The sequence below is a fragment of the Homo sapiens genome, chromosome 22 (genome assembly GCF_000001405.40).
Source record: "Homo sapiens chromosome 22, GRCh38.p14 Primary Assembly".
NCBI lineage: Eukaryota > Metazoa > Chordata > Mammalia > Primates > Hominidae > Homo > Homo sapiens.
In genome coordinates this window covers 40,645,424-40,659,121 of record NC_000022.11, presented here as the reverse complement: position 1 = coordinate 40,659,121, position 13,698 = coordinate 40,645,424, and the positions used below count along the sequence as shown (strand labels likewise).

Below are 13,698 nucleotides of genomic sequence, written 5' to 3'. Positions count from 1 at the left end.
TTACACAAAACACAATGCTATTCCACTCTACTGACAACATTATGCTCCTAGGGCCTGGGAAGCAGAAAAGTGTAGGTATCCTAAATGTGACAGAAATGTCATGAAAACACAAAGGCCCAATTTCTCAGTAAAGGTTTTGGGGTCCAGTGTTCTGAACACGTCCCGATTTATCCTACAAAGTAAAGAACAGGCGGGGTGTGGTGGCTCACGCCTGTAATTCCAAATCTTTGGGAGGCCGAGTTGAGAGGATCACTTGAGCCTGGCAGTTCAAGACCAGCGTGGGCAACATAGTAAGACCTTGTCTCTACGAAAAATAAAAAATTAGCCGGGCATATGGTGGTGCATGCCTGTGGTCCCAGTTACTCAGAGGGCTGAGGTGAGGAGGACTGTTTGAGCTTGGGAGGTTGAGGCTGCAGTGAGCCATGATCATGCCACTGCCACTCCAGCTTGGATGACAGAGCAAGACTCTGTCTCCAAAAAAAAAAAAAAGTAAAGAACAGTTTACCTTACGTTACACCCACTACCACAAAAGAGGTGTGATTAGCCAGGTGCAGTGGCACACACCTGGGCACCAGCCCAGGAATTCGAGGCCTCAGTGTGCTATGATCACGCCTGTGAATCACACTACACTCCAGCCTGGGCATATAGCAAGATCCCATTCCTTAACAATTAAAAAGAGAGAGAGAGAGAGAAGTGATATTTCATGAGACTCTTTGGATTTGGGAGTCATTATATACTATTTGCTGTTCCAACCCATTTACTAGATGACCTAAAAGCTACCAGCTTTGGCCGGGCGCGGTGGCTCACGCCTATAATCCCAGCACTTTGGGAAGCCAAGGCGGGCGGATCATGAGGTCAGGAGATCGAGACCATCCTGTCTAACACGGTGAAACCCTGTCTCTACTAAAAATACAAAAAATTAGCTGGGCATTGTGGCAGGCGCCTGTAGTCCCAGCTACTCGGGAGGCTGAGGCAGGAGAATGCTGTGAACCCAGGAGGCAGAGCATGATGCAGGGAGCCAAGATCACGCCACTGCACTCCAGCCTGGGCAACAGAGTGAGACTCCGTCTCAAAAAAAATAAAATAAAATAAAAACAAACTACCAGCTTTGAGTGGAGCCCTGAGGAAGAGAAGGTGCTGCTACTTGATTCAAAAGGCCTTGCAGATCCAGTGAGGTGCTAAGGGTTTCTGTAGCAGGTGGGGAGAACCAGATAAAGCTAGGTCATCCACTTTCCCTGTGGGCACCACGCTTCTGTGATGTCTGAGACAGAATTGGACTTTTTTTTTTGCCTCCATCAAGTATTAGGAATCCCCATTAAGCACCAGTGGTCACCTCAGGCTATAGGCACTGGTCTGAAGTGCCTGTGTCCGAGGCTTGGTTTCACTTGCCAGAAATTGTAAGAGCTGCACAAGCTGCTTATGGTCTACTTTATTTATTTACTTATTTTTAATTTATTTATGAGACGGAGTTTCACTGTCGTTGCCCAGGCTAGAGTGCAATCGCATGATCTCTGCTCACTACAACCTCCGCCTCCTGGGTTCAATTCTCCTGCCTCAGCCTCCCAAGTAGCTGGGATTGCAGGCACCCGACACCACACCCGGCTATTTTTTGTATAGTAGAGACAGGGTTTCGCCATGTTGGCCAAGCTGGTCTCGAACTCCTAACCTCCAGTGATCCACCCGCCTTGGCCTCCCAAAGTGCTGGGATTACAGGCATGAGCCATTGTACCCAGCCTGGTCTACTTTCTTTAAAAAGGAGCTGTGTGATTTTTTCTTTTTTTTTTTACAAAGATGCCAAGACAATTCATTGGGGGAATGAATAATATGGAAGAGCCAGATATCCACATGCAATTAAAAAAAAAAAAAATGCAGCCTGACACTGTGGCTCATGCTTATAATCCCAGCACTTTGGGAGGCCAAGGCAGGTGGATCACCTGAGGTCGGGAGTTCGAGACCAGCGTGACCAACATGGTGAAAGCCCGTCTCTACTAAAATTACAAAATTAGCTGGGCGTGGTGGTACATGCCTGTAATCCCAGCTACTCGGGAGGCTGAGGCACGAGAATTGCTTGAAACCAGGAGGCGGAGGTTGCGGTGAGCCAAGATCGTGCCATTGCACTCCAGCCTGGGCAACAAGAGTGAAACTCCGTCTCAAAAATTAAAAAAAAAAATGCAGTTGGATGCCTGTCTCACCCGATAAACAAACATTAACTTGGCCAGACATGGTGGCTCATACTTGTAATCCCAGCACTTTGGGAGGCCAAGGCAGGCGGATCATGTGAGGTCAGGAGTTTGAGACCAGTCTGGCCAACATGGTGAAATTCCATCTCTATTAAAAATGCAAAATTAGCCAGGCGTGGTGGCATGTGCATGTAATTCCAGGCTACTCGGGAGGCTGAGACAGGAGAATCACTTGAACCTGGGAGGCAGAAGTTGCAGTAAGCTGAGATCGCGCCATTGCACTCCAGCCTAGGCAACAAGAGCAAAACTCCATCTCAAAAAAAGTAAATAAATAAAAATATCTCAAAATGGATCACAGACCTAATTGTAAGAACGAAAACTATAAAACTCTTAGAAGAAAGTGCAGCAGTAAACCTTGGGTAAGGCAAAGACTTCTTAGATTGACACCAAAAGCACAAGCAAGAGTAGAAAAAATAATAGATAAATTAGACTTAATAATGATTTTAAAATTTTATGGGTTTTTTCCCCTTTTTTTCTTTTTTTTTTTTCTGAGACAGGGTCTCATTCTTTTGGTCAGACTAGGGTGCAGTGGTGCGATCACAACTCACTGCAGTTTCAACCTGCCGGACTCAAGGCTGCAGTGATCCTTCAGCCTTGACTTCCTGAGTACCTGGGACTACAGGCATGCACCACCACACCCAGCTAATTTTTAAAATTTTGTAGAGATGGAGGTCTTGCTATGTTGCCCAATCTGGCCTCAAGCAATCCTCCCACCTGGGCCTCCCAAAGTGCTGGGATTACAGGCATGAGCTACTGCTTCCTACCAACTTGTGTGCTTTAAAGGACACCATCAAGAGAGTGTAAACAGCTGGGTGCGGTGGCTCACGCCTGTAATCCCAACACTTTAGGAGGATGAGGTGGGAGGATGTATTAGTCCATTCTCATTCTGTTATGAAGAAATACCTGAGACTGGGTAATTTATAAAGGAAAGAGGTTTCATTGACTCACAGCGATCCTCTCATCTCAGCCTTCCAAGTAGCTGGGACTACGGGTGCACATCACCATGAATTGTCCATTTTAAAACGATGTATTTTTATTGTATGTGAATTATATTTCAACAAATGTGGTGTTTTGTCTTTTGGGTGTTTTTTTTTTTTTTGAGACAGGGTCTCACTCTGTTTCCCAGGCCACAGTACAGTGGTATAATCAGCTCACTGCAGCCTTGAACTCTTGGAAGCAAGAGATCCACCCACCCCAGCCTCCAGAGTAGCTAGGACTACAGGTGTACACTACCAAACCTGGCTAATTTTTTTTTTGTAAAAGAAACACAAAGTCTTGCTGTGTTGCCTGGGCTGCACAGCTTGGGCTGGTCTCAAACTCCCGGACTCCAGTGATCCTTCCGCTTCGGCCTCCCAAAGTGCTGGGATTACAGGCATGTGCCACTATGCCCAGCCAACAAATCTGTGTTTTGTTTTTGTGAGATGGGGTCTCACTCTGTCACTCAGGTTGGAGTGCAGTGGCGCAATCTCAGCTCATTCCAACCTCCACCTCCCAGGCTCAAGTGATCCTCCCACTTCAGCCTTCCCAGTGGCTGGAACCACAGGTATGCACCACAAGGCCCGGCTAACTTTTTGTATTTTTTGCTAGAGATAGGGTTTTGTCCAGGTTGGTCTCGAACTCCTGAGCTCAGGCAATTCACCTGCCTCAGCCTCCCAAAGTGCTGGGATTACAGGCATGAGCCACCGTACCCAGCCAGCAAATCTGTTTTTAAAAGGTATGGGGGAGGAGGGCTGTGGACAGAGGAAGCACTTAGAAATGCAGTCTCCACTCCGGTCCCTGGGGCAAATGGCCGACTCTGGACATTAGTTTCCTACTCCTTGTCTCTTTTCACTCTGCTTCCTGGAAGCGACATCCAGTTACACCTTGCTGCTGACCATTTGGCAGGCCACTGGGAACTACGTTGAACATGCTTTGCAGAGAGGTGCTTCCTGGGGACACCCTCTGAACTGCAGTGTGAAGATGGGTTTCAGCAGGTTTTGCTGACATCGGAATCAGTAACTTGGATGAGTGCACTCCTTGGCTCTTCCACTGACTTGCTGTGTCATGCAGTAAGTCCCCTGATCTGCTCGGTGCCAAATGGTAATTGGAGTAAAATGAGCCTGCCTTGGGATACTCTTTGCCGTGGGTTTTATTTTTTTGAGACAACCTTATAGTAACTAACATTTGTACAGCCTTTTACACACGTGCCTTATCTCAGCTGATCCTGTGAGGCAGATATGATCCCTAGTGACAGATGTGGGGACTGCGGAGCAGAGAGTTGGGCAGCTTTCCCAGAACAATCCAGCCGGCACGGTGCAGCCAGGCCCCAAGCCCAGGCCTTCCACTCTTCTGACTCCAAATTCTGTGCTCATTCCTCTCCACAGGGCTCCCTTGTGATGAGACTTTCTTCCTATCCTACTTCCAAAATGCTGATGTTACTGAGCTCTGAGTTACTATATAACTCTTATCTTAAAAAAAGGAAAACAAAACCAAAATGCCAACGTCAAGGAAATCGCCACACTTCAGTTGGTCTCAACCCTTGTATTTTTAGCCCTTAGAGACAGCCCCTCTGTGGCCTACCCTCTTCGGCCTTTTGCCCAGTGGTGGTCAGTCCCTTCCCACTTCAGTTCTGCAGCATCTGGGTCCTGATTTCACGCACAACTGTTTGCAGAAAAAACTGAGGTGGGGTGAAAGGAAAATCCGGTTCTTTTAGAACTCCTGTTTTTGTTGAGCACACGTGACCCTTCAGGGTCAGGCCTCTTCTCTCACCACCACCTCCTGCTTCCCCCCATACCCCGTGTTACCCTTAAACATCTTAGGGTTTCCAGAAAGGGCTGTGTGCTCCTGTAACTTCTGCACATGTCGACCCCTCGGGCCATTTTTTTTTTTTTTTAAGACAGAGTCTCATGCTGTCGTGCAGGCGGGAGTGCAGTGGTACAATCTTGGCTCACTGCAACCTCTGCCTCCTGGGTTCAAGCAATTCTCCTGCCTCAGCCTCCCGAGTAGCTGGGACTACAGGCACGCACCACCATGCCCCAGCTAATTTTTATATTTTTAGGAGAGACGGGGTTTCACCATGTTGTCCAGGCTGGTCTCAAACTCCTGACCTCATGATCCACCCGCCTCGGCCTCCCAAAGTGCTGGGATTACAGGCGTGAGCCACTGCGCCCGGCCCCCCTCGGACCTTTCTTCTCTTGGCCGCCTCCTCAGCTGTTCTTCACAATGCAGCAGAATGACCTTCTGGAAGCTCCCTGCCCTCGGCTCCCTACTCTCTGCTCCCTACCCTGTCCTCCATCAAACAGCTAGTGTGGCCATACTGCAGCAGATGCTGCTGGTGCCTCCCCAGGTCGCTTTACCAGGCTGCTCACCGGTCCTCCAGCTGCTGCAAGTCTTGGGTCTACAGACTCGCAGCTGCCCCCCACCTGTCCCCTTATGTGGAGGGGCCCTTGGCTGACAAGCACCCACCACCTCACCTATCAGCCCCATCCAAAGCCTGAAAGGAGGCAGACAAGGCCATTCTCTTTGCCTCTAAGGGGGCCACTCTGCTTGGAGCCCACTCCTCTAACCCAGGCCAAGGCTAGACCTGAGCCCAGCTCAGCAATTTCTCCTTCAATACCTGCTTTCCTTCCCCCTTCCCCCTTCTCCCCTGCCCTCCCCCTCTTTTCTTTTTTTGAGGGGGAGTTTTGCTCTTGTCACCCAGGCTGGAGTGCAGTGGCCAATCTCAGCTCATTGCAACCTCTGCCTCCCGGGTTCAAGTGCTTCTCCTCCCTCAGCCTCCCGAGTAGCTGGGATTACAGGCACCTACTGCCACGCCTGGCTAATTTTTGCATTTTTAGAAGAGGCAGGGTTTCACCATGTTGACCAAGCTGATCTCGAACACCTGACCTCAGGTGATCCGCCCACCTTGGTCTCCCAAAGTGCTGGGATTACAGGCGTGAGCCACCGCACCCAGCCCTTACAGGCATCTTCCTTCAACAAACCTCAATAACCAGACCCCTGCTTCGGGCTAAGGCGCTAGCACATTCCATGGTGATTAACCATTTTTCTTATTGTCTCCAGACTAGACTCTGAGCACCCGGAAGGCAGGAAGGTTGCCCACACCTCCCAGGTGGGGGCCTGGCACAGAGCAGGTTCTCCGCGTTGAACTCTCAAGCTTCCGGGTGGTTCTGCACAGCTCCCCTTGCCTTTCTTTCTCTACCACCATTTCTTCTCCTCTCCTCTCCCCTAGAAGGGCAGAGATCCGTTTGTCAAGGCTAAGTTTGGGGTGCGGTGGGAAGGGCAGGAGGTAGAGCTGGCCAACCTTCCAATCCCCGGCCCTCCTGCCCGACCCCACCAACCCCGTCCTGCCTCATGGAACTTAGGTTTGAAACACAGGGACGAACCGGAGGATGGCCTGCCAGCCGCAGGGCAGGCCACAGCGGAGCCCTGGGGCGCTCCCCGGTGCTGGGGTGTGGGGAGGTGGCAGCTGTGTGCCCCATCCCGGGAACAGGCTGCACGGGCCCGCGTGCAGAGAGCCCACCCCGGGACCAGGCTGCACGGGCCCGCAGACAGCATCACAGCCTGGGCTGGCAGCCTTTTCCAAGGGCTGCTCTTGACTTCCGCCTCCCTCTCCCGTCACTTCATCAACACTCTAGGAACCATGGTGAGCCCACGCTTCTTCATTCATTCCCGCCCACTCACAGCACAAGCCCACGTCACAGGAGGCATGACTCGCCTCAGAGGCTGATTAGCTTTCCAGGCAGCATCCAGCTCACGCAGGCGCTGAGTCAGTGCCGCCGAAGCCTGGCCAGGAGGGAGGTGACTCAAGCCCGAAACTGTGGGTCTCCTCCCCTCCAGCCCTGCCAAGCAGCCAGCGGCCGGGAGAAGCCACCAGGGGCCAGGCCCTGGGCTAATGCTCTGGGTGCTAAGCCCTCCTAAGTCCCCACACCCCACCTGTAAGGCACGTATGTGGTGCCAGCTGCCCCGCAGTCTCTCTCCCCATTTCCCGGGTGAAGACCCAACAACCCCCGGGCTTCCAGCCGGGCTCCACAGCATGGGGCGGAGGCAGTAGTAACTGACCCGGATGTGGCCATGTTGATTGGCTCAGGGCTGGGCATGTGATCTGTTGGAGCCAATGAGAGGCATTGAGACTCAGGCTAAAATATCTGGGACAAAGCCTCTCATCGTTTTTTTCACTGGACTCAAAACTCCAGGGGTGCTAGAGCTGGAGCTGGAGCTGCTGGCTCCAGCTTGCCAGCATGTGAAACCTGCCACTGACACCAACCCTGCGGAAAAGAAAGAGAAATGGCAGGAAACTGAGTCCTGGTTATATTCTGGAGTCCTGAATCCAGCCATACCTGAAACTGTTATACTACAGGGACTTTTGGAATTTCCTGGCTTAATGCAGTCCTTTTGCTTAAGTTAGTCTGTTTCCTGTCACTTGCAGTTGTAAGAATTCTAATCAGTACCAGCATTTGCTACCACATTTAACTAATCCTAAAACATGATTTTTTTTCATTTTAATGGAATCATCATTGCTTGCAAATTTGATAAATTAAACATAGCTGTTCATATTGTCTTAACTTCAGCTGAGTTAGGTGCAGTGTTGGTGCTGCGTGTACTGAATTGAGGGCTATTTAAAATGTCTTCAAAAAATTATATAGTGACTCAGCATTTGGATAAAAAGTGATTATGTAGAGAGAAAGGCAAGGACACTGAGCTATAGGGAATGAGCTTAATATTAGTGAAACAACTTTTCTCTTTGGAGAAACAACTGCTCTTTCCTGACAAGGCAACATGCAAGTGCTTTGTAAAACCGAATACAGGAAGATACCCACAAGTAGAATTTGTGTTACATTTTGCTCCTGAGATATGGATAAAAAGATTGACTATGTATCATACACCAAGCAATGCAACTGAAGGCAGGAGAAATTGTGGAATCTCACAAAACAGGTGAGAGGAATACAAAGTAACAAGTTACTGTGACTAATTTGTGACTTTGTGCAGAGCTACCGTTAAGACACTGCACTGTTGGCCGGGCGCGGTGGCTCACGCTTGTAATCCCAGCACTTTGGGAGGCCGAGGCGGGCGGATCACGAGGTCAGGAGATCGAGACCATCCTGGCTAACACGGTGAAACCCCGTCTCTACTAAAAATACAAAAAATTGGCCGGGCGTGGTGGCGGGCGCCTGTAGTCCCAGCTACTTGGGAGGCTGGGGCGGAAGAGTGGTGTGAACCCGGGAAGCGGAGCTTGCAGTGAGCCGAGATTGCAACACTGCACTCCAGCCTGGGTGACAGCCCTTGCTGGACCCACAGAGAGCTGACCAGCCACAACTAAGCAGGGCATTGTAGCTAAGAGGCTGGACTATGGCACTGGATGGTCTGTGTTCCAATCACAGCTCTACCATTTACTGCCTGTTTGAGCTCAGCTAAATTACTTAACCTTAATCTATAACCATCAGAATGCATTATCACTCGCATTTTGCAAAAGTGCCCTTAAAGTCACCTGCACTGGGCGCAGTGGCTCACTCCTGTAATCCCAGCACTTTGGGAGGCTGAGGTGGGTGGATCACCTGAGGTCAGGAGTTCGAGACCAGCCTGGCCAACATGGTGAAATGCCGTCTGTAAAAATACAAAAATTAGCAAGGCATGGTGGCACACACCTGTAATCCCAGCTACTCAGGAGGCTGAAGCATGAGACTTGCTTGAACCCTGGAAGCAGAGGTTCCAGCGATCAGAGATGGCACCACTGCACTCCAGCCTGGGCAACAGAGTGAGAAGTGAGACTCTGCCTCAAAAAAAAAAAAAAAAAAAAAATCCCTTGCTCAAAGTCACAAGCTGACTTTGAACATTATGGACCTAATCATTACATCTCATCCATACTGGGTTCCTACTGGTCAAGAGGAGTGGAGAACTGGGGACATCTGTACATCCCTGCTCTGCTCCTAAGCACTCTGGCCTAGACTGGCTGAGCGGAGGTAGAATCAAGTGGTTACAATGGCCTGGCCTTCAATGATATTTGCTGTCACACTGTTTCAGTTCACTAGCTTGGGCCTAAAGAGAGATCCCCTGCTCCCCATAAATCTTTATGTCTACTGTTTGAGTAGTGCCAGTAGGTCATGCCTTGGGTTGTAGTTTTTCCTTCTCTAGGTATTTTATTTATTTATTTATTTATTTATTATTAAATAATTGGGGGGGAGGGGGGCTCAACTCCTCCCCAAAGTGGGTTTATCAAGGATTTTTTTTTTTTTTTTTTGAGACATGGTCTCACTCTGTCATCCAGGCTGGAGTGCAATGGAGCAGTCTCAGCTCACTGCAGCCTCTGCTTCCCAGGCTCAGGTGATCCTCTCACCTCAGCTACCCAAGTACCTAGGACCACAGGTGCGTGCCACCGTGCTCGGCTAATTTTTAAATTTTTTGTAGAGATCGTGTCTTGCTATGTTTCCCAGGCTGGTCTCAAACTCCTGGGTTCAAGAGATCCTCCCGCCTTGGGCTCCCAAAGTGCTAGGATTACAGGTATGAGCCACTGCACTGGGCCAAAGAATTTTTTTTTTTCTGAATAAATAAACAATGCTTCCTCTGAAGGGAGTTCCAGTGAACACAATTTTCTCCATCTCATTACAATGAGGTTTAGGCCACAGCTATAAGTTCTCTGTTGTCATTCTCTGTATTCACCCCAACACTCCGTAAAGTGTGGGACACACCACGGTGTGGGAAAATAGAGACCCAAGATGAGAAAGGAAAGCAAGTACCTCTGGCCTGGTGTTGTGGGAAGGAAGAAGCACACCTTGAGGGGACAGGCCAGGGGTCCAGGTACTGACCCACACCAAAGCACAGCGTGGTCCCAAGCAGCTGGGAGTGAGGGGACGCACGTAGACAGTGAAGACCCAGGATAGACGGGAAAGGAACTTCTACTTTTCTTTCCTTTTTTTTTTTTTTTTTTTTTTGAGACAGAGTCTTGCTCTGTCGCCCAGGCTAGAGTGCAATGGCGCGATCTCGGCTCATTGCAGCCTTCACCTCCCAGGGTTCAAGCGATTCTCCTGCCTCAGCCTCCAGAGTAGCTAGGATTACAGGCACACGCCACCATGCCTGGCTAATTTTTGTATTTTTAGTAGAGACGAAGTTTCACCATGTTGGCCAGGCTGGTCTCGAACTCCTCACCTCATGATCTGCCCACCTCAGCCACCCAGAGTACTGGGATTACAGACATAAGCCACCGCGCCCAGCTAGAACTTCCACTTTTTCACTGCATGTCAGTGACCGCTGAGCCCCGCAGCGGTGCAAGGGCAGGTGTTGACTTGCGATCTGTATGGTTACTCCTAATTTACAGGTGACGAGATTGAAACTCAGGGACACAGTCTATTTCCTAAGGTCACATGGCTCGGGGCAGAGCCAGGCTTTGAAACCACACCTGCTTTTCCACTGAGTTGCTCTGCCCCTCTTCTCTGTGAGTTTCTTGTAAGGTATTTGTTGTATGACTGCTATCATGAGGCACATTTTATTCACCTGTCGGGAGCTGGTACCATTAGTGTAATATAATCATTCAGTTTGACTCTCATCAGTGTTTTTGCTGCAGCTGCTGCTGCTTTTTCCACACTCTAGTTTTCCAAAACTCAGGTGCAGTGGGGTATTGAGTCTCCTTGTCCATCCAGGCAAGAAAAAAATAATCACTTCAGAATGAGTAGGTAGGAAGGCAGCACAAACAGACATGTAAAAAAATGACTTCACAGCCGGGCACGGTGGCTCACACCTGTAATCCCAGCACTTTGGAAGGCCAAGGCAGGTGGATCAACATGGTGAAACCCCGTCTCTACTAAAAATCCAAAAATTAGCCGAGCATGGTGGTGCATGCCTGTAATCCCAGCTACTCGGGAGGCTGAGGCAGGAGAATCGCTTGAACTGGGGAGGCAGAGGTTGTGGTGAGCCAAGATCGCACCACTGCACTCCAGCCTTGGTGACTCCATCTCCAAAAAAAAAAGAATGACTTCAGAATGCTGTTCTAATCAGGTAGCATTTTGGTAAGGAGAGAAATCAGTATAACTTGTTCCACCAACTCAAAGTGCAGAGTTCCACATAATTGCTGGAGTCTTTATCACCTCCCCACCCAACTTTGTGATTTGCCCCATATGCTAAGGACTTCAGGCGCTGCTCCATCCAGGGGTTTGAATCATATCATGGGGACTCTGCCCCTGTCTCTTCTATACCCTTCATTGCTCCTTGTTGTTATTTGGTTTCATTTTCAGATGAGATCCGGTGTGTTCAGGGTGATATGGCTGTAGACATGGCCTTCTTTTCTTTCTTTCTTTTTTTTTTTTTGAGAGGGAGTTTCACTCTTGGCACGATCTCGGCCCACTGCAACCTCTGCCTCCCGGGTTCAAGCAATTCTCCAGCCTCAGCCTCCCAAGTAGCTGGGATTACAGGTGCCTGCCACCATGCCTGGCTAATTTTTGTATTTTTAGTAGAGACGGGGTTTCACCATGTTGGCCAGTCTGGTCTGGAACTCCTGACCTCAGGTTATCCGCCGGCCTCGGCCTCTCAAAGTGCTGGGATTACAGGTGTGAGCCACCGCGCCTGGCCTGGGCCTTATTTTCAAATCTCTTCTTGCCTTCTGACAGCTAGATGGCCACCGGCAGCTCCAAGCCTACATTTGTTTTTTTTTGTTTTTTTTTTTTTTTGAGACTAAGTTTCGCTCTATTGCCCAGGCTGGAGTGCAAGTGGTGTGATCTCGGCTCACTGCAACCTCCGCCTCCGGGGTTCAAGTGATTCTCATGCCTCAGCCTCCAGAGTAGCTAGGATTACAGGCGCCCGCCACCACACCCATCTAATTTTTGTATTTGTAGTAGAGACAGGGTTTCACCATGTTGGCCAGGCTGGGATTACAGGCTTGAGCCACCGCGCCTGGCCTAATTTTGATTTTTTGAAATATTGTATTATTTTTCTTAATTGCTAAGTTTTTGGCATCCACTTAAATTTTGTGTCTGATTCTCCTCACCCTAGGCTATAACATCATGGCAAGCTTTTATTTAAGAAAAAAAAAATCTTTGCAAGTTTTTTTGTTGTTGTTGTTGTTATTTTTTTTGAGACAGAGTCGAGCTCTGTCGCCCAGGCTGGAGTGCTCGAGTGCAGTGGCGTGATCTCGGCTCACTGCAAGCTCCGCGTCCTGGGTTCACGCCATTCTCCTGCCTCAGCCTCCTGAGTAGCTGGAACTACAGGCGCACAACACCACGCCCAGCTAATTTTTTGTATTTTTAGTAGAGACGGGGTTTCAGCATGTTAGCCAGGATGGTCTCGATCTCCTGACCTCGTGATCCGCCCGCCTCGGCCTCCCAAAGTGCTGGGATTACAGGCGTGAGCCACCGCGCCCGGCCAAGTTTTTGTTTTTAAAACAAAATCTTTTTGTTCCACAAGCAATAAGAACTTTCAGTTCAGTTCCACCTCTTGGTTGTTTACCAGCGCGGCCTCTTCTCTACTCCAGGGGGCAAAAACGGGGTTACAGTTCTCAACCACCAGGGGGCGTCAAAGAACAACTGATAATCGAACCGTTCCTAAGGACGTCCTCCAGGAATATTCCCCAGCCTGGATTCCTTTTCTTGCTGAAGAAAACCCATCCATTTTGAGTTCTCTGCCTGTCAAGTACTTCAGTCTCAAGTAGGCCCCGACTACATGAGCTAGATTCGAGGTTATGTTTGGATTGTATCCTGAAAGTACCCAAAGAAGACATTTATATTGGCTGCAATGATCAGAAAGCCAGAATAAAATCCCACGGGGGTTTGAGTTAATCAAACTTGTGTTTAAACTTTGGCATGTGTGATGCAAATCAAGGTCGCTGGGTAGGGATACCAAGCTTCCTAGTTTCCCCTGGTCAGTAAAAGTCCTGCATCTTGACCCTTCAGTTCCTGCAAACTGGACTGTTGGTCCCTCTACCTGCTTGACCCTCAGTTTTCATCATCTGTGAAATGGACATAAGGCTGGTACCTTCTATGAAGTGTTCATGGAAGAATTCAATGAGATGATGATGTACACAGTAGGTGCTGAATAAAAACTAGCTCAGTTTTGTGATCAAGTGATATACTAGGTGTTTGCAATCCCAGGGATGACCCAATAAAACTATGTAAACAGAGCCCTAGCTTTTTTTGTTTGTTTGTTTTTTAGACGGAGTCTCACTCTGTCACCCAGGCTGGAGTGCAGTGACACTATCTCAGCTCACTGCAACAACCTCTGCCTCCAGGGTTCAAGTGAGTCTCCTGCCTCATCCACCTGAGTAGCTGGGATTACAGACACTCACCACCATGCTCGGCTAATTTTTGTGTTTTTAGTAGAAACAGGGTTTCATCATGTTGGCCAAGCTGGGCTCCAACTCTTGGCCTCAAGTGATATGCCACCTTGGCCTCCCAAAGAGGTGAGATTACAAGTGTGAGCCACTGCACCCGATTGAGCCCCAGTATTTAAAAAAACTTTAATATAATAGAGATGGGGTCTTGCTATGTTGCTCAGGCTGGTC

General features: G+C 49.2%; 1 long non-coding RNA gene across 1 annotated transcript, besides 3 other annotated features; it reads right to left on the bottom strand.

Moving 5' to 3' along the window:
* Window positions 4,166–4,540: a transcriptional cis regulatory region, noted in NCBI's record as "candidate enhancer chr22.2152 targeted for multiplex CRISPR interference". NCBI's record gives its function as "positively regulates EP300 gene expression in K562 cells {active_cell/tissue: K562}" and the evidence as "EXISTENCE:mutant phenotype evidence [ECO:0000015][PMID:30612741]".
* Window positions 4,351–7,274, bottom strand: LOC124905122 (uncharacterized). Its single transcript, XR_007068108.1, has 2 exons — window positions 7,152–7,274; window positions 4,351–6,443 (listed from the first exon to the last, which is right to left on the bottom strand). It is a non-coding gene; the product is annotated as an uncharacterized LOC124905122 (long non-coding RNA).
* Window positions 6,304–7,503: an enhancer, noted in NCBI's record as "P300/CBP strongly-dependent group 1 enhancer chr22:41047623-41048822 (GRCh37/hg19 assembly coordinates)". NCBI's record gives its function as "activates an origin of replication core promoter dependent on BRD2, BRD4, P300/CBP, MED14 and CDK7 cofactors, with strong dependence on P300/CBP, by STARR-seq in HCT116 cells {active_cell/tissue: HCT116}" and the evidence as "EXISTENCE:reporter gene assay evidence [ECO:0000049][PMID:35650434]".
* Window positions 6,723–6,822: an enhancer, noted in NCBI's record as "active region_19097". NCBI's record gives its function as "activates an Ori minimal core promoter by ATAC-STARR-seq in GM12878 lymphoblastoid cells {active_cell/tissue: GM12878}" and the evidence as "EXISTENCE:reporter gene assay evidence [ECO:0000049][PMID:35858748]".